We start from the raw sequence: 18,844 nt of genomic DNA, 5'->3' as shown, positions 1-18,844 counted from the left end.
CATCCTACTCTCTGTGGTACCAATTTACTGTATTCATTTGTTCTCATGCTGCTGTGAAGAAATATCCAAGACTAGGTAATTTATAAAAGAAAGAGGTTTAATTGACTCACAGTTCTGCAGGGCGGGCTGGGGAGGCCTCAGGAAACTTACAATCATGGTGGAAGAGGAAGCAAACACTTTCTTCTTCACATGGCATCAGCAAGGAGAAGTGCAGAGTAGAGGGGTGGAAAAGCCCCTTATAAAACCATCAGATCTCATGAGAACTCACTCACTATCACAAGAACAGCATGGAGGTAACCACCTTCATGATTCAATTACCTCCCTCCAGAGGTAATAGTTCCTCCTGCAATACCTGGGATTATGGGAACTACAATTCAAGATGAGATTTGGGTGGGGACACAACCAAACCATATCAGCATACATAAATGACAAAACTCTGAATGTCACTTGTCACTGCTGATGTGCCCTCTGCTTTGGAGAGTGCCACCTTGCCCTCACCTACCTCATGGGCCATATGAATCTGCTGGGACTTCCATTACAAAGTACCATGGACTGGGTGGCATGAACAACAGATAGGGATTTTTTCACAGTTCTGGAGTCTGGGAAGTCCAAAGTGCCAGCAGCTTCCGTGGCTGGTTAGGGCTCTCTTTCTCATTTGCAGATGGCCACCTTCTCTCTGTGTCCTCATGTGATGGAAAAAGAGATCATTGGTCTCTTTTTTTCTTATAAAGGCACTAATTCCATCCTAATAGCCCTACTTTTGTGATGAACATGTGCACTTGTGAATTCTTCACATAATGAGTTATTCAAATATCACGTTATTCACTTTAATCCTGTTCCCTTTCATTGGTTGCTCCAGATAGATGAGGAAGCTGGCCTAACCCTACTATGTACTTTAAAAGATAAACAACCAAGACCAGAAGGCATTGAGAAAGGGCCACACAGGCCTTGTCCACTTCTACTTTTCTTGTGGGGCCCTTACAAGATGAAATGGTGCTAGCTGATCACAGGGCTGTCCACACACATGCCTCCCGTCTGAGCACTAGGGCTGGCTGGGCGTCTCACTGACTGGTGAAAGCCTTGTTCGCTCCTTACAAAGCTTCCCACAGCTTCTCTGAACCCTGCTCTTTCCGGAAGGATATCGCATTACTGGACCATCATCTATTTTCCCAAAAGGCACTTTAGAGCCCTGGGTGTGATGCCTGTTCATGTGATTTGATGTTTTTCTACCATTTTTGACTTGGGTGAACTACAAATAAAGAGCATGTAGAAGCACAGCACTGAATGTTCTGGAAAATTAAAGAGTTCACACATGGCCAGCGTTTGGAGTCTTAAATCATCCGAGTTTCAAGTGTTCCTTTTTATTTTGGGGAGGAGGGTGTGCAAAGGGTTTGGGAGAGTGAACACCACGGATGGATTATCTCATTTCATTTATCCTGACTCTTCGTCTATCAAACCATGCAATTAACAGTAGCACAAACGGAGCCTTACTCAATCAAAACAAAGCATGAATCCATGTTAGAGGATTTACTGGCCAGGCTTTCTGGATGGAGCTTTCCAGATCTTTCTGAAGATAAAGTGGAGAGTCAATTTGTAGTGAGACATCAAGGTGTGGACTTCTGTCTCCTCCCGCTCCTCCCCCTGCCTCCGTTGCTTCCCCTCCCTCGCCCAGCGCATTCTTTTCAATACGCTTATAACGAAATCAGAGACAATGTGTAATTATACAGAAGAAAAATCTGTCAGAGGATAGCTGAAGTTGCTTAAATTGTGCTGATTTACAAAGATAAGAGAATCTTCCCCCAACTGAAAAAAAATACCTTTTTGCATGTGTAATGGCAAACAACCTCCTGCAAAGTCAACTCCTTTTCTGAAAGTCATTGCGAGTTTTATAATTTCTGAGTCATTAGATAACAGATAGAACTCCACACTGAGTGGTTTCAAATGTTTATGGTCTGCAATTCATTCTTAATGAGCTCCCTCCATGTCTTTATTCTTCTCCGCACCCTCCTGCTGGGAAGTGTCTTACTCTGCCTTGCCTTTTGTTAATGATTCCACAATCATTTCAGAGCCATTTCTCCTGCCTTATGTAATTCTGACACTGCGGAAGAGCCCAGCTCACTGCCTCACAGTTGGAAATGTAACCTTTAATGTATTAATTTCTCTTGCTCAAAACAATTTAACCTCTGTCTTGGTTTTGTGATTGCTAAGTGTTCCAATTAAATGCCTCTTTCATTTTTTGTCCTGGAGGGCTTGATCCTACCCAAATTATGTAGCACACACCCCACCTCGCCACGAGGAGCATGCTGGGGCCCCTCACGTGCCCACCATCCATCCATTATCTCTCTCATGAGTGCCTGTCACATTTTCAAAACACCTCCTTCTCCAAAAAGATTAATTAAAGTAGTTTTAAATGAGGCAGCATTTGTCTGTGGAGGAGAAACGAATCATCCTAGCCCAGAAGAGAGAGGCATCCAGGAGGAGAAAATATTCATCTCCTGCCCCCACTTCTGAACCGATCTGATCAACAGAGGATGGTGAGCGAATGGTCACTCTGCCACGACTGTGTCAAGATGCAGGCCCTGCCAGCCCGAGTGAGGCGGGGAAATTAATCACAGCAACAAAAAGTCTCTGGACACTTGCCTTTTGAATTCTACCACCTGCTTCCAGGCAAAACAGGCCCAGTAAGAGGGAAGATTCGTTGAAGGATTCCCACACATGGACGTGGGGCACCCAAGTCCTTGACAGTCAGCACAGACACATAAAAGCAACTGGGAATAAAATCGAGGGACAGTGTAGGACAACCTATTCACAGCCCAACACGCCGGAGGCTCGCTGCTGCTCCTGCTGGGGGGCACCGCCGTGTGATCAATGCCTGGGAGCAGGGAGCCCCCTCCTCTGAAAAGCCTCACTTCAAATTGCCTGTTGTCTTGGTACCAACAAGTCTATACTCTAGTCTCCTTCGCTTCTCTCAGAAGCTTAGAAAGGGTAACAATTTGGAGCTGGGGTCGGGGGCCTTATCAACCTCTGGTCCAACTCAGGAGTGTGCCTATAGGAACAGCTCAAATTCATTTTGATGAAAACTATTTGCAATTAAGCATTCTATGGTCTTTAGAAGAGCTTCTCCAAGGCAGTCCATGATTGGAGACAAATAACTCTAGGAGGGCCATGTAGCTAGGGCATGCCTACCTCAAATTTGTATTCAAACAGTTGTTTACATATCCATTAATGCCATCCCATCAGCATGCCTGTGGTCAGTCCAGTGGCAAACCAGGGGTATGGGTTGGTGGGGGACTGAGACAGTTGGGCAGATTTGCCTGTCTCCTTCCTTTGGGAGCCAACAAATGGACGGTTTTGGTAAAAAGAGAAATGCCATGTGTAGAAGGCACTGTAACAACCACAGGTCAACTAACTCATCATTAGAAAAAATTTACACAAATCAGCAAGGCGTGGTGGCTCACGCCTGCAATCCCAGCACTTTGGGAGGCTGAGGTGGGTGGATCTCCTGAGGTCAGGAGTTCGAGACCAGGCTAGCCAACATGGCAAAACCCCATCTCTACTAAAAATACAAAAAAAAGAAAACAAAAAAAACAAAAAACACAACAATTAGCTGGATGTGGTGGTGGGCACCTGTAATCCCAGCTACTTGGGAAGCTGAGGTAGGAGAATTGCTTGAATCTGTGAGGCAGAGGTTGCAGTGAGCCAAGATCACGCCTCTGCACCCCAGCCTGGGCAACAGAGTGAGACTCTGTCTCAAAAAAAAAAAAAATTTTTTACCCAAATTGTGTCTACACAGTCCAAGTCGTCCCTGCCTGTTTCAATAGTTATATCCTTCCATTGGGAGGGACACCAAGTGTCTCCTTACTTGCTAAGGAGAAAAGAAATGGATACCTTGCCCCTCCCACTGCTAGGTAGGAAACTGCCACTGCCTCTGAAATTCTGAAAAGTGCCTGTGAGAAGCTCCCGTAAAGTTCTTTATTTATTTATTGAGAACTACATCAGACTCTGTCTGGGTTTAACACACCATTCAGAAAGAACAGGAAAAATCTTCAGGAAGGAACCTACTGCCTGATGAAAGATTAGTTCGCCGAAAGAATAATGCCCACATTTTTGGAGCAAATCAACATGCATGAAAGTATTGTTATTTGAAATAATCGGCATAGAAGCATCTTAAAAGAGTTTCAGAGTTTTCACAAGTCCAGACTTTCTTTGGACCAGTATCAGTGGGCTATGAATTATTCTTGAAAAATAATTGAAGGTAATCTAGACGTAACTAATAGTTTACAGAAAATACAAGGGATAAAAGAACTTATGAAACAACACAAGAGAAGCAATCAGGCAAAGTCAAGGATGTGGGAAATTCTATAGGACAAATGGTTCATTTTTTCAAGATACAAATGTCAGGAAAGCAGAGGGAGGTAAATCTGTAGATTAGGACCCTTAAGAGACATAGACGTATCAACAAAATACAATGTACGGACCTTGTTTAGACCTGGATTTGGAAAAAAAAAATTGAGATATACCTAAAACAACCTAAGAGAATATTAGCTGGATATTCAATGATTTTAAGAAGCCACTGTTAAGCTTGAGGTGTGATACTGGCATTGTGCTCATGTTTTGGGTTTTTTTTAAAGGCCCTTGATTTTAAAAAAACACCTGAAATACTTATGAATATAATAGTACAATATCTGTGACTTGTTTTTAATAGCCCTTTGGGGGAGTGGCATAATTTGGACATTTGTCTCCTCCAAATCTCGTGGAACTTTGACCTTCAACGTTGGAAGTGGGGCCTAAAGGGGGATGTTGGGGTCACGGGGGTGCGTCCCTCACGAGTGGCTTAGTGCTGTTTTCCAGGGAATGAGTAAATTCTTGCTCTATTTTAGGAGCCTGGCACCTCCCTCCCTCCCTCTCTTCATTCTTCTTTTACCATGTGATGCCTGGTCCCCTTCGCCTTCTGCCATGAGGAGAAACAGCCTGAGGTCCCACTAGACATGGAAGCTATGCCATGCTTCTTGTACAGGCTGCAGAATCGTGAGCCAAATAAACCTGCTTTCTTTATAAATTACCCAGCCTCAGGGATTTCTTCACAGCAGTGCAAACAGACCACGACTGGGGGGGAGAGGCTGATCATCACTGGAGCTGGGTGGCAGGTAGCTAGGATTCACTGTACTGTTCTCTCTACTCTTGTACATATGTGTGTGTGTGTGTATATATATACATATGTACGTGTGTGTGTGTGTGTGTGTATATATATATATATATATATATATATATATATTTTTTTTTTTTTTTCAGATAGAGTCTGTCTCTGTCGTCCAGGCTGGAGTGCAGTGATTCATTCTAGGCTCAGTGCAACCTCCGCCTCAAGGGTTCAAGTGATTCTCATGCCTCAATCTCCCAAGTAGCTGGGGTTACAGGTGTGCACTACCATGCCCAGCTAATTTTTTGTATTTTTTTTTTTTTTCGTAGTGGAGACAGGTTTTCACCATGTTGGCCAGGCTGGTCTCGAACTCCCGACCTCAAATGATCTGCCTGCCTCAGCTTCCCAAAGTGCTGGGATTACAGGCATGAGCCACCGCGCCCAGCCATCTTGCACATATTTAAATGTTCTATAAACATTTTTATAAATGGCTGAGAGTGGTCCCTCCTGAGCTTGAGCCTCTCTGTGGCCATCTCTGTCTTGCTGTGAAGAACCCAAAGCCCCTCTCTGAGTTGGACAGGTCAGCATCGCACAGAGGACTCATTATCCCACCATTAAGACTTTCCTTTTCCAGACGAGGAGCCCCAGGCATTGTCCCGGGACTCTCAGACGTAGATGAGTCAACGCACACGTGGCTCTTGTGGCCTGGGTCTCATCCTTCCAAGAAGGCTGGAAATGGATCCTACAGCCCCCTGCCTGGAGTCTCTTCAACAGATACATTTGCTGGGGTCATGAGGGGTCATAGGAGGTCCTATAAAAAGAAATCACTGCAGCAGGTTGAGTTTTCACCCATCCTATCTAACATACTGCAGCACTTTTTCGGCTTGATTAAAAAACGCTTGTTTTCTTTATTACAAACCCATAGATGTTTATTGCAAAAAATTAATAAAAACACAAACAGGACAAAAGAGGAGAAAATAAAACTCACCGTAATTTCACCCCATATTTTTTTAAAAATGAGAACAATTATATACAGATTTCCCACTAAATAATTCTCAGGTTAAAAAAAAAATTCCTTTGTGTTTCTCAGAATTGGGTTAAAATGAGTTTGAAAATCTTAGCACCTCTCCTACTTGCAAAGGAATTTAAAAGGGAACTGGGACCATTTTGTTTTATTTATCTTTTTTTTAGAGTTCTCTTATTTTAAAAGCAAATGAAAATATATTTTGGGTTGCATGAGAATTTCTGAATGCTGGAATGAAGCAGATGCCTCTTCTCAAGGCTTCCATGACATGCCAGCCGGTGGTGCCATCCTAGGGGCCAGGTGGGGAGATTAGGAATGAAAATCAAGTCCTTATTTGTTATTTGTTATATGGCTCTGAAGAAGCTTCCCGACCCGTCTCCATCTCAGTTTCCCAGTATCCCCTTTGCTGGGCATTGTAATGACTAATCACAGTAGCAAAATTGCAATGTGGCAGATACTGCATAAATGAAGACTGAATTATAAATCTTTTGTAATGATTACTTGGCTAAGAGCTGCCCTCTGAAAATCATAAGCAGTCTTTCTAGTAATCCCTACCAATGCCTTTCTCATATACACATGTTTTAGAAGCTACAACAATTGTGATTTTCCCAGTAGGCTGGAACGATCAGACCTAGTTCTGATTCTCTTATTTAGGCAATATTTTTGTCCCTTGTTAATATCCACTTTGCTGTATAAATAGTAATCAGTTTATTTTTTCTTTTCCTAGGGGAGGAGCAGAGATATTTGACCCTAAACCAAATTAAAGAAGAAACCTTTTCTTTCCTAGGAATAAGTCTTCCAGGTAACAATTATTTGCCTTATGATTGAAACTCGGGGTTAGAGCCTAAATTAATGCTGTACTCAACCAGGTAATCTGGGAAAGACTGCTTTCTATTTGGCAACCCTTGACTTGCACTATTTTTTGTCTTTTCTCCAACAGGTTCACAATTAGAGACATTTACACTGTTACAAAACCTTCTTGACAATAATTTTAAAATGCTTGACAGTGGAAGACAGAGATGTGCTAGTGAGGAAGAGTCTGGGAGGGGAACACAAACAGAAGAAAAGATCCTGTCGTGCATGAGCAAAAATGGCTTTTGGTGTTGAATATAAGTAGACATTGCCCTGTTCACTTTTAACAATCACCTGATGCTTTGCATTTTGGCCTTTGGTATTGCGTTTCCTAGTGCCATTTTTATTGACATAAGGAAGCTGCAGCCCCGCCTGTGCTGGGGGGCGAGGTGACTGTAGCCCCCTACATGCATCCTAAGTCATCTCCCCTGGTGGTTACTACTCCTCCATGTCACGGCTGCATGCCCTGGGCAAGGAAATGAACTGTGGCAAACTCGTTGGTTGGGCTGTAATGTTATGCTCTTGCAGAGGATAACTGAAATGTATCTTCAGACCCAAAGGTAGAGGTTGGAGTGAACTGGGAATGAAGGCAAAACCTCCCTGAGTTCAGGTATTGAGAGTTTAGATCCTTCCTCACAGCCTGTGCCTCCCTCATCCCAACCTTGTTTAAAAGAAATACGACCCCCAACTAAATTCCAGACAACTGAATAGGATTTCCATCTTAGCATGGACAGAGCACTCAGGCCTGCAGATTCCTGAGCACCAAGGATGGGAAGGCAGGAAGCCTGGGGAGGACCAGAGGTGGCCGGGGCCAGGACTTGGTCTCCCCGCAGCCTTCCCAGCCTCAGGGCCTCATCGGACTCTCCTTCACTCAGTGCCCACCTCGGACGCTGGCTCCTTCCATTCAAAGGCAAACTGCAAACTCAGGCTGGGTGTGGTGGCTCATGCCTGTAATCCCAGCACTTTGCGAGGCTGAGGTAGGCAGATAACTTGAGGTCAGGAGTTGGAGACCAGCTTGGGCAACATGATGAAAGCCCATCTCTACTAAAAATACAAAAATTAGCTGGGTGTGGTGGTGCATGCCTGTGATCTCAGCTACTTGGGAGGCTGAGGCACGAGAATTGCTTGAGCCCGGGAGGCAGAGGTTGCAGTGAGCCAAGATCATGCCACTGCTCTCCAGCCTGAGCCACAAAGCAAGACTCCGTCACAAAACAAAACAAAAAATAAGAACGCAAACTCAGGGCAGCATCAGAGGCCAGCAGTGCAGACCACTAGCGCCCCTCAGCCTCTGCTCTCTGCTCTGCAGCGCCTCTCCTGCTTCCTTAAGAACCGGATGTCAGTGTCTCCCAGGGACACCTTGCCCTAGACTTGCTTTTAGGTCTTCATGATTGGCATGATTGATTCTGCTCTCTCTGAGGGTTGTTTATGTGTGGCAACGTGGAATAAAACTGGATGGGACCTTGTTTTCTCCTCTGTCTCAGATCATGTGAACACAAGCAACTCTACCTGTAAGTCTCAGAGGAAATCTTTGCTTTAGAATGTATGCACGAATCAGCCTTCTGCTCAAGTGAAACTTCAAAGGGTGGATCTCAAAGAAGATACATAAAAAAAGAGAGGAGACTGTTTATGTTGCTCTGCTGTTATTATTTTAAAAGCCCATGATGCATAACCTCTTTAAAATTGTGTTTATTTTATGTTCATATGTAATATTTATTTTGTTTGTGTTTATGTGAATATTTATATAGCTATAATAAAATTATATCAATTTATATTTTATTTTTACATAGTTCTCATCAATAGCCAGGGTCATACTATATCACTAAAACAACCAATATTCCAACGTTGTCCCTTCTGAATGACAGTTTTGCCCTGGAGAAATTCACACAGTCCTCTTGCCTATGCCCTGGTGTCACCAGAAAGGCCACCAGACACAGCCATTGAAACTGAGCCCCCTGGACAACTGCTGTGACCATTTCAGCCAAGTGGCTGCTCTTAGCCCATTCTGGGAAGCAGCACAGGACAGCCCTCCCCCAGCCCAGCTCTCCCGAATGTCTTGCAAAGGGCAAAAGGACAGCGGAGGTCATGTCACCATTCAGCAGCGCTTTGAGGTGGTGTCTGTCCTTGGGATCTTGAATGAACCAAAACAAATTTGGGGTCAACTCAGGGGCATTCTGGGGACACCCGCACAGTGGCCACTGGGCCAGACACACCACGCCTGTGTCTCCTGGTCTGTGCTTAGCAGCTTGAGCGGATGCAAGAGAGCTGGAGAAGTTAGGGCCTAAATAATAAAGAATAATTAGAAATTCTTGCCTTATGTAGCCACAGTTTTAGCATCTAATAATTATTGTTGCAAATGCAAATACTAGTCCCTGGGACTCCTTATGCATTTGAATCAATCTCTTAAAAACAATTGCTGCTCCAGATGAAAAACAATTTCTCAACAGCTGGAGAACATTTGCAGAAGGCAACTTTTAAAGAACAGAGCGAGGGAGAAAGACGGAGATAGACACAAAAGTAATCATCAGCCTCCCTTGTCTAAAGAAGTCTGAAGTCTTCAGATGGTGTGTTATTAATTACTATACCTACAGCTATGCTCTCGCTAAGCCACAGTTAGACTAGCAAGGTAAGGCAGAATAGCATTTTGTGTTGTCAGCACTGTTAATCAAAAATTACCCTGCCTTTTACTTTATTCAAAAACAGAGCTCTTTTTTTTTTTTTAAGAGCATCTTGTTACTGAGTTTTAAGAATAAAAAAATCAGAGGTTAGGATATCAAGGAGGTGCTCTAGGAATACAACTATATCTTGAATATAATATTTAGCATGGGCAAGCAAGGAAGACCTTTTTTCATTGTGCTGAATTGAAGCATTCATTAGGCAGGATTCTGGAGGGGCATGGGTAAAGGCGAAGGGAAGAGTGGGAGGGAGAGGGTGGAAGCACTAAGTCTTCCATTTGTGTATTTAGTTTGAAACTATGGATGTTTTGTGCCCAAAGCACACACATGAATTATAACCAAGTCCTGACATTTTAGATTAAATACCCTTGGCTTATATTCTAATCTGTTTTATTTTGGCACAATCATTTAGATTCAAGTTTAATATGAAATATTGATTGGTAATTAGATCATCATAATGATGGTAATAATAGCTAGCACTTCATAGCACACACCATACACCAGACATTATTTTCCATGCTTTGACTCATTTAATCCTCATAAACCTGAAGAGGTGAATATTATTATTATACCCATTTTACAGATGAGGACACTGAAGTACTCACAGTTTACACGACCTGCTCAAGGTTACGGGGCTAGTAAATGGTCAGTGTTTTTCAACCTGGACTTGTGATGTAGTAATTGTGCTCTGCAATCAGTGAAAACAGGCTGCCAATGTTAAATTATCCTCGAATGTGCTGTGTTCCTGGCTGAAACAGTAACGACCGAGTGGAAGGCACACACCCCAGTGACATAACCCCTGGGGATGCAGACATGCTCAGAGCAGAGGGCAAGCTGGCAAGTGGCCACATTTACCTGTGACTAGCTAAGTGGACTTACAGATGGTGTGGCTTAGTTTTACCCTCACAGAATGAGCAGGCGGCTTACGAAAAGATTTGTACAAAGAGTCTGGGACTTGAAGATGGTACTAATAATGCCCAGACTAGCAACAAGAAAAGCAGCCATGGTCCCCCTCTGTTCGGCCAAATCAATAAACAAAAACAAAGCAAATCTAACCCATCCTCCATTGTTAATGAGAGACCCCACCTTGAGCTCATCTTACACATGAAGATATTAGTTAATGATAGTAGGAAGTCATTAGAACTAACAAGACATTTTGCAACTAAGCATCCAGAACATGAATGCAAACCTCTATGAACTGAAAGCAAAAATATTTTTGTACAATTAGTAAATAAAATAATAGCTTAAAATATTTTATCACTCACATATGATCATTTAATTTCTCTGTCATGTATGTCTCACAACGCATTTAAATTATTAGCATGTATACCTACTTTAGCAAAGAGTAAACATGCATAGAGAGAAGTGCTCAGAAATCTTTCACTGATAGGATTATGCAATCAAAAAAGTTTGGAATCAAGCACAGTGCTAGAGTTTAGTCTACCCCGTGGGGCTACTCTCAGGTAACCATGGTAACGCTAATCCGTGGCCAACTGTCTGGCAAAAGCTTAGCAACTCAACAGGGAGACAGGGAGGAGAAGGTGGACAGAGCCCGGCAGACCCGTGTCCACCCCGAGTGCACCCTGGCTCTTCACATCATCGCAGGGCTGGCCTTGAGCATCTGGAGGCATCAGGTCCTCAGGTGGGGTGGCTGTCACTCCACATCGGTGGAATGCTTTGTAGCTAAAGAAATACGCATAATTATCACCATGAGTTGATCCTATTAACGTATCGAAAGCTAAATGAGGGACTAATAAATTGTCTGAGGTCACAGAATTTTCAACATGTAATCTTCAAAACCAAATTTACAAAGCAAGTTCTCATACTTTCAAAACTACCAAGAAAAAAAAAATGGGTTCTTTTATGAGCAAATGAAATCCCAGAAATGTAACAGAATTTCATGTCAGAACATAATGATGTTCAGAAACTGAGAAGCATATATTTGGATAATATTCTATGTAGAGAAAATATGAAAAGAGAATTCAAGAAGAAACTTGAAATGGCCACACACATACAATATACGATATTCGCCCACATGTATTTTCCTTTCTAAAATGCGTGATTTTGCAAGGTTGATACTTTTCTTTCGCTTTATTCATAATGAGATGTGTAAAATAGCAGAATTTCCAAGTTATCACTGCAAAGACCTTGAATCATACTTTATGTCTCTCAAAAATTCGGTCAGGTGGATGTTTCCTACTAAGGATTTAAAGCTATTTCACTAGCTATGCATTTTGTATTTTATAAATCATTAACATGAACAAAGTAAGAACCAAAACAGAAATACCCATTTCATAAGTGTGAAGACAGTTAACCTTTAAACAGATGGGTAGTCCCAGACAGCTCTGGAAAATTAATAGAGCTTAAACCTAAGGTCTCAGAGCTGCAGAATACATCTTTGGAGACCATGTTTTTGAGATCATCATAAATCAACTTTTTCCTCATCAGTCCCTCCTGCCTACCCAGGCTCCTAGAACCGCCAGGTTATGAATATGTATATCAGGACACATCAACGGATCCAGTGCTCCGGTCTCAAAGGTTCTGGTCGTGTGTTCCCTCCGCCGTCCATCCTCCCAGTTCACATGGTTGGAAAGCCTCACTGTGGTGGGCCTGCAGCCTGGCGCGGCGGTGGCACTGGGAGACGCCACTCCACATTCCGGCTCAGAGCCTGAGCACCCTTCACACCCGGCTCCCTTCAGGGGACGCATTTCCATTTTTTATTTGTAAACCTTTGCTTACTAAATCAGCGGTGTTATGGGGGATTGTTTTGTTGTCAAAGAGCTGCGTTTTTCCATGGCCAAGTCAGTTCAGATCTTAAAAGAGGCACAGCGAGCGATGGGCAAGGCTCCAAGCCGGGAGAACCGGAGGGATGAGGTTGTTGTCTCCCAGGAGATGGCTGCCTTAGCACTCACAAAAGACGTGGCTGGGCCGGCTGCAGAAAATTATACACACAAAAAGGAAGAAAATGACTAGCCAATGTTATCAATATTATCATGTTCAACTATTTAAGTAGGTGTTTGGAGGCATTTTTTAAGAATTGGGTGAAATTCTAAATGTGGCCACCAACCCTATAAGAATGTGGATGTAAAAGGAATTAAAGCCAGAAGTTTGATCTTACTGAGCTGCCAGCCTCAGCTAGGCCAGTACCGGGAGATTCTTTCATTGGCAACCGAGAAGACATTGGCCGTGGGAGAAATGCGGAATGGGATCAGGTCGTCCCTGGCCTGGAGACCTCCAGGGCCACTGCTCGGTGGGCAGTTGTAGAGTCAGCACACAGCTCTCTCTGCACAAACATTAAGCCAATCGTTGATGCTCATGTGTAGAGAAACTTCACATCCGTTCCCCCGACACGTTGAAGGGAAGAGAGGCACGATGGAATACGGTCTCGGTGTAGAGTTAACCTGGAGGTGAATAATCCCACCAAGGACAACAAACGGCACTTTGTTCTTGCTTTCAACACAAGCTCCACCCAAGAACATTTTGTCACTTCCACTGAACAGGAGCCCCGAAAAGTTCCTAATGAACATATTTGCAGCTACTTATGTTAGAAAAGTTAATTTAGCAGCGTTGTTGCAAATGTCAGGAAATTCAACAAGCCTGAGGAATTCAATACAGATATGAGCAGAATATGGATGGCAGAGACCCAGGGGCACAGGTCACGACAGTGCAGGTTGTCTACGCACAGAACACAGCCGGGACAGGGCTGCACCTGGCGGGACAGGCTCAGGCTTCCAAGCAGTGAGACCCACTTCTAGGGAGTGAGTGTTCAGCAGCACGTGACATAAATGCCATAAAACTGTGGCCCTGTATCTTCTTTATTATTTTTATAGATACATCATTATTGAAGGGAGGCCATTCCATTCTTTATGGACTTGGGCATCCATCTGCCTCTCTCCTTCCTGTTCTGCGGACACTTCCCATCTTCCTGCAGCCCTGTTTGGAAAGAAAGGAGAACTGCGAGCTGTTTTATGAAGTGGGGAGGGTAGCCGGGTCTGCTCGCAGGTACAGGTACAGCCCTCCTGGAGGGTGAACAGTCCGTCGAGGGCTGCTTCCTGATGCAGGCACCGTGCTCGGAATGTGTGTTACATCCCCAGGAGTTCTGCATCATAAAAATCATAAAGAGTAACGTCCCATGTCTGGAAACAGAAACGATTCCTACGAGAATTTATGCGCTCAATGTAATTAATCTGTATGTCTGGGACATCTCATCACAGGCCTGTCTTCTTTGGCTAATTATTAAAGCCTGATTCAATGGATCTGCTCAATTATAGTCCCAGATAAACAGCCCTTCTCCCCGCCCACCCCCGGATTATTTTACTTAAGGGTTTAGCAAATTCACCTGACAAAGAGTTAGGTTTCAACATTGACCCTCATAAAGTGATTTTTTTCTCTTTCTGTTTTGTTTTCTCCCTTCTTAAAGAGATAGTCGCCAGAGGCAATTCGACTTTCTGTAGCCACAAGATTCAACAAGGCCTCAGCTAATTGCCCTTCAGTACATCAGCGTTTCCCACCACGTGGGAGAAACTCGACCACGTTCATTATAGAAATCCGTCTAACCAAGATAATTGTATTGTATGTAACAAGTATTTTCAGGCTTACTCTGTTTCCCAAACCTTTTATAATAGAAATTTTCACTATCACCTCACTGGGCAAAAAAGTACAAAATCTGAATATTTGTGTTTTAACTGCTGAAAGATGCCACGTTGGCTTCTGACATGCCAGGGACAAGGACTATCGCTGATGGTCACGGGACCACCTGTGTGTTTGAGCTGAGTGTTAGAGTGTTTACAAGAAAAGGCCACTGTCAGGAGAACCTGGTGCCAGTTACACAGTTTATAAATTAACAAGAAATGGAGATTGATCTGAATGGGACCGATCTAGACTGTTTGGGAATTTTGTGCACTCAAAAAAGATCTAAAGATACTGCAGACACCATCCACCAGCGTCGCCTCACCCAGACTTTAAACAAAAGACCCAGCAGAGGTAGCAGATGGGCTTTCATCCTGCCCTAGCTTGAGTGTCCCAAAGACAAAGTGATGTCTTTAGTAATTACAACACTGTTTCTTAATGTTCATTTTCCTCTTATGATGCCATAAGGCCCAGCAGCACCTCCTTATAGCACCAAATGTTCACGCGTGGCTGCTCCTCAGACATGCATGGTGAGAAGACACTGGGGCTACCTCAAGTTTCCAACCTCAGCAGAGCAGAAAAGACCAAGAACCTCACAGGACAACGTGGATCCCACAGCTTTATGATCTTGTTAAAGTAAGTGACCAACAAAACAGTCTTGAGACTGAAACTGGAAGACAGCCTCTTGCACTTTATGAGCACTCTTTGTCGCCTTAATTCCATCGTCCTCTTCCCGCCTGCCTTGGCCCCACCTGCAGCCCCATGTTGGGTTAACCTGGCTCTGACCTCCACCGTTCTCTCATCTTCCCAGCAGCAGGCTGGACCCTGGTTGGTTTTCTTTTAGACATCATGACAGACGCTTTAGGTCACCCACTCATTAGCCATCCCTGTGCCCCTCGGCCCCCACCCTTTTTCCTTCCTAACAGAAGAATTTTGTCCTCTCTCCTGCCAGTGGCCCCATCCTTCAGGGGTGAGTAACATTCCCCATCCCAAAGGGGGATTGTAATTATCCAAAGCTGAGTGACTGGCGTAGGTCTGGACCTGCAGCATAATTCTGGCCAATAAGACCTGGAGGAGAAAGGAGAGTTCGGGGAAAGTTTTTCTCATTCTGAAAAAGGACACAAGACCCTTACTGGGATGTGCAATGGCTAGACGTCTGGCTGGCAGGATTCAGGGCAAAAAGAATCTGCCTCCAAGCTTGGAGTCAGGCTGCATCCAGATGTCCTGTGACTTGCACCTGAATGAAGCAGACACTCAACCCTCCAGCTGTCTGGGGCCTCCAGCCCTCACTGTTTATGCACCAGCAACCCTGCTGGGGACTGTCCCATCAGAGAGGGCAACTAGAGCACCCTCAGCCCCCAAGCCATTCCCAGGCCTGGCCCGGCCCCAGGGCACGGCCAGAGGAGTTCAGTCTGGAGAGCACATATTCCCTCTAGTTCAATGTCCTGATGCCCGTCCGTGCTGGCAAGTGACCCTCTAAAATCACCCGAATCGATGATCAGGGGTAAAGGGGAATAGCTCTAAACACAACTGGGGAAAGACATTGGTTCAGTTATGTGACCTCAAAAGGAATATTCAATAATAAAGTTTTGAATTCCATTACTGAGTCACTGAATAATATGGTTACCATTAAACAAAATTTTATTGTCTGCATGTTTGTTCCGTAAAATACATATATATTTTATCTAATCCAAATTGCATCCGACAGCTATAATTTGTGAGAGGTGTTGAAGTGCTTTTCTCGCCATTATTTTTAATGTGCTTTCCTAGATAATGAACTCAGGCTTAGAATCACAGAAAGTAGAGATTGAAGGGTGCTCCCGGGTCAGCGGACACCAGGCTGCCAGACTCCGGATGGGCAGGCACCCCCCAGGGGACAGGCCGCAGAAGCAGGACGCCAGGAAGGGGGCAGGGAGAAGACTTTAATTGGCCATTTCTGGTTTGATAGCTCCAAGTTGCGGGTGCATCTCCTAGAGAAAGCTGTATTTTGCAACCCCTTCTCCACAAAATGAAGATCTTTATTGTTATTCTCAGATACAGTCTTCTTTTTATTTGGGGGTGAAGGACAGGAAGGATAAAACCCAAGTGCTCTAGCTCAGTCATCTGTGCGCGGGTAAGTCACTACAAATTACAGTAAAATGACGAAAAGGCATCCCTCTCCCCTGTGTAACAAGTCACACCCATGCTTCAAAACCCATTGTTCTTTTTTTTTTTTTTTTGAGAAAATAGAGCCTTTTATTTCATTTCTTAATTAAATAAATATTTATAATACAAAACATAACCTTACATGGGTGCAAATAGTAGGTAACACGTATTTTCTCGGAAGGTCTTGAGAAAAGAGCATGAGCTCAGAGGAGGATAAATAGCACAAAAGGATAAAGCTGTGCACGCTCCACACACTTCACAACTGGATGGAGCAACACGTCCGGAACGTGTAGACCCACAGCCCACTTAATGCCACCTCTGTGGCCATCCATGAAGACTCCGGTGCCTTCAGAGCAAGGCCCTCCCTGCCATCAGTGCAGTGAGTGGGCAGTGGGAGAGGACACGGGGTCACAGGGAAAGGTGCACATGAGTGCTCATACACACACTCGAGCACATAACAATGAGTGCATGCAAGGACATTACACACGTGAGTACACGTGCAAGACTGCACACACGACAACACACACACAAGTGCATATATACAAGTGCACACACAATTACACAACACATACACACACACAAGTAAACAACATACATGCACAGAAATGAGTGCACACATATGGGTACACACATGAGCACACAGCACACACAGATACACATGTGCAAGTGCATACATGAACACACAACACACATGCACACACAAGTATACGTGAGTACACATGTGTGAGTGCACACACAATTACACAATGCACACAGTCGACATTCCAGTGGTGGGTCCGCTTTTGTCTCACCTCCTCACCTGGGAGTCACACATCTCAGGAGCTGGCGGGAATCCCAGGGCAGAATCCATCGCCTGGAGATGTGGCAGAGCCTCCTGGAACCACGGGAGAGGGAAATGTGGGAATGTGGCCTGAGGTCGATGGCATCAGGGAGGCGAGTGGGAGGAGGAGAAGCTCCAAGGAGATTGTTGTGACAGGGACGTCCCTCACAGGAGCCCCTGCCCAGCACCTGCACCATTGGCATGACTGCAGGAGCCTGGGGCTGCTGGGCCCGTGGTCATGAAGGGCGCCAGCTGTGGGCAGACCCTCTGCAGGGTGCTGGCAGGGTGAGAGGCCATGTTAGCAGCTACTCCTTGAAGAGGCTGAAACAGGATGTCACCCTGGCCACACTGTACACCCCGTAACCTCCAGGACATGGGAGGGTGAGGCTCCTGGGGCCTGAAAGGCAGGGTGGTCTCTGCTCCCCTGGCCTGGGGCTGTGGTAATTTTGGCGTCAGGAGCATCTGTGGTGAATAATGACACAAATGTCACCTCAGCAGGAGGGAGTGAGAGAGGCAATGACTGTGAGTATCAGGTGGCCCCCAAGAAATTTTTCTGGAATCTTCTACCACAGTGGGTCTCAAGCATTTGGGTCTCAGCAGTCTTTTACATCTAACTATGGAGCTTCAGTTTGTCTGGTTATAACTACTGATAGGCCAGGCGCAGTGACTCACGCCTGTAATTCCAGCACTTTGGGAGGCTGAGGTGAGCAGATCACAAGGTCAGAAGTTCAAGACCAGCCTGGCCAATATGGTGAAATGCCATCTCTACTAAAAATACAAAAAAATTAGTCAGGCGTGGTGGCACATGCCTGTAATCCCAGCTACTCAGGAGGCTGAGGCAGCAGAATTGCTTGAAGCCAGGAGGTGGAGGTTGCAGTGAGCCAAGATAGCACCACTGCACTCCAGCCTGGGAGAGACAGCAAGACTCCATCTCAAAAAAATAAATAAATAAAACTGAGAAATGTATTAATTCATTGAAAATTAACAATAGAAAACTCATTACACATTACCTTGTTTTTAATTCAAAATAACTGTTTTTCCAAAATAAAAACAAACAGTGAGAAGAGTGGCATTGCTTCAGCTTTGTGCAGGTCTTTTTAAAGCCTGGCTTCAGAGAAGACAGCGGATCATCAGTCTCTCCTTCCACATTTGGCCTGTTGTCATAGCACACATCATGTTACCTCTAGAATTCATTTGTGAGAGAAAGGGAGAAGAACATCTCAATTTTATTATTAAAACAATTTAATAATAATATTGTTATTAAAGCAATTTAATAACAACAATATTATTATTAAAACAAAGTGCCTGTAATCTCAGCACTTTGGTAGGCCCAGGAGGGCAGATCACCTGAGGTCAGGAGTTCGAGACCAGCCTGACCAACATGGTGAAACCCTGTCTCTAGTAAAAATACAAAAATTAGCCAGGTATGGTGGCGCATGACTGTAATCCCAGCTACTTGGGAGGCTGAGGCAGGAGAATCACTTGAACCCAGGAGGCAGAGGCTGTAGTGAGCCAAGATCGCGCCACTGCACTCCAGCCTGGGTGACAGAGCGAGACTCCATCTC

At 44.5% G+C, this 18,844-nt stretch overlaps 2 annotated features.

Annotated features, from left to right (window-relative positions):
- Positions 1,387 to 2,331: an enhancer, noted in NCBI's record as "OCT4-NANOG-H3K4me1 hESC enhancer chr18:73062287-73063231 (GRCh37/hg19 assembly coordinates)". NCBI's record gives its function as "activates a minimal SCP1, AML or CMV promoter by ChIP-STARR-seq in naive and primed H9 embryonic stem cells {active_cell/tissue: H9 hESC(naive and primed)}" and the evidence as "EXISTENCE:reporter gene assay evidence [ECO:0000049][PMID:30033119]".
- Positions 2,332 to 3,278: an enhancer, noted in NCBI's record as "OCT4-NANOG-H3K4me1 hESC enhancer chr18:73061340-73062286 (GRCh37/hg19 assembly coordinates)". NCBI's record gives its function as "activates a minimal SCP1, AML or CMV promoter by ChIP-STARR-seq in primed H9 embryonic stem cells {active_cell/tissue: H9 hESC(primed)}" and the evidence as "EXISTENCE:reporter gene assay evidence [ECO:0000049][PMID:30033119]".

Source organism: Homo sapiens, chromosome 18 (genome assembly GCF_000001405.40).
Source record: "Homo sapiens chromosome 18, GRCh38.p14 Primary Assembly".
NCBI lineage: Eukaryota > Metazoa > Chordata > Mammalia > Primates > Hominidae > Homo > Homo sapiens.
Note: the sequence above shows the minus strand (reverse complement) of the source record. Positions and strands in the feature narration are given on the sequence as shown.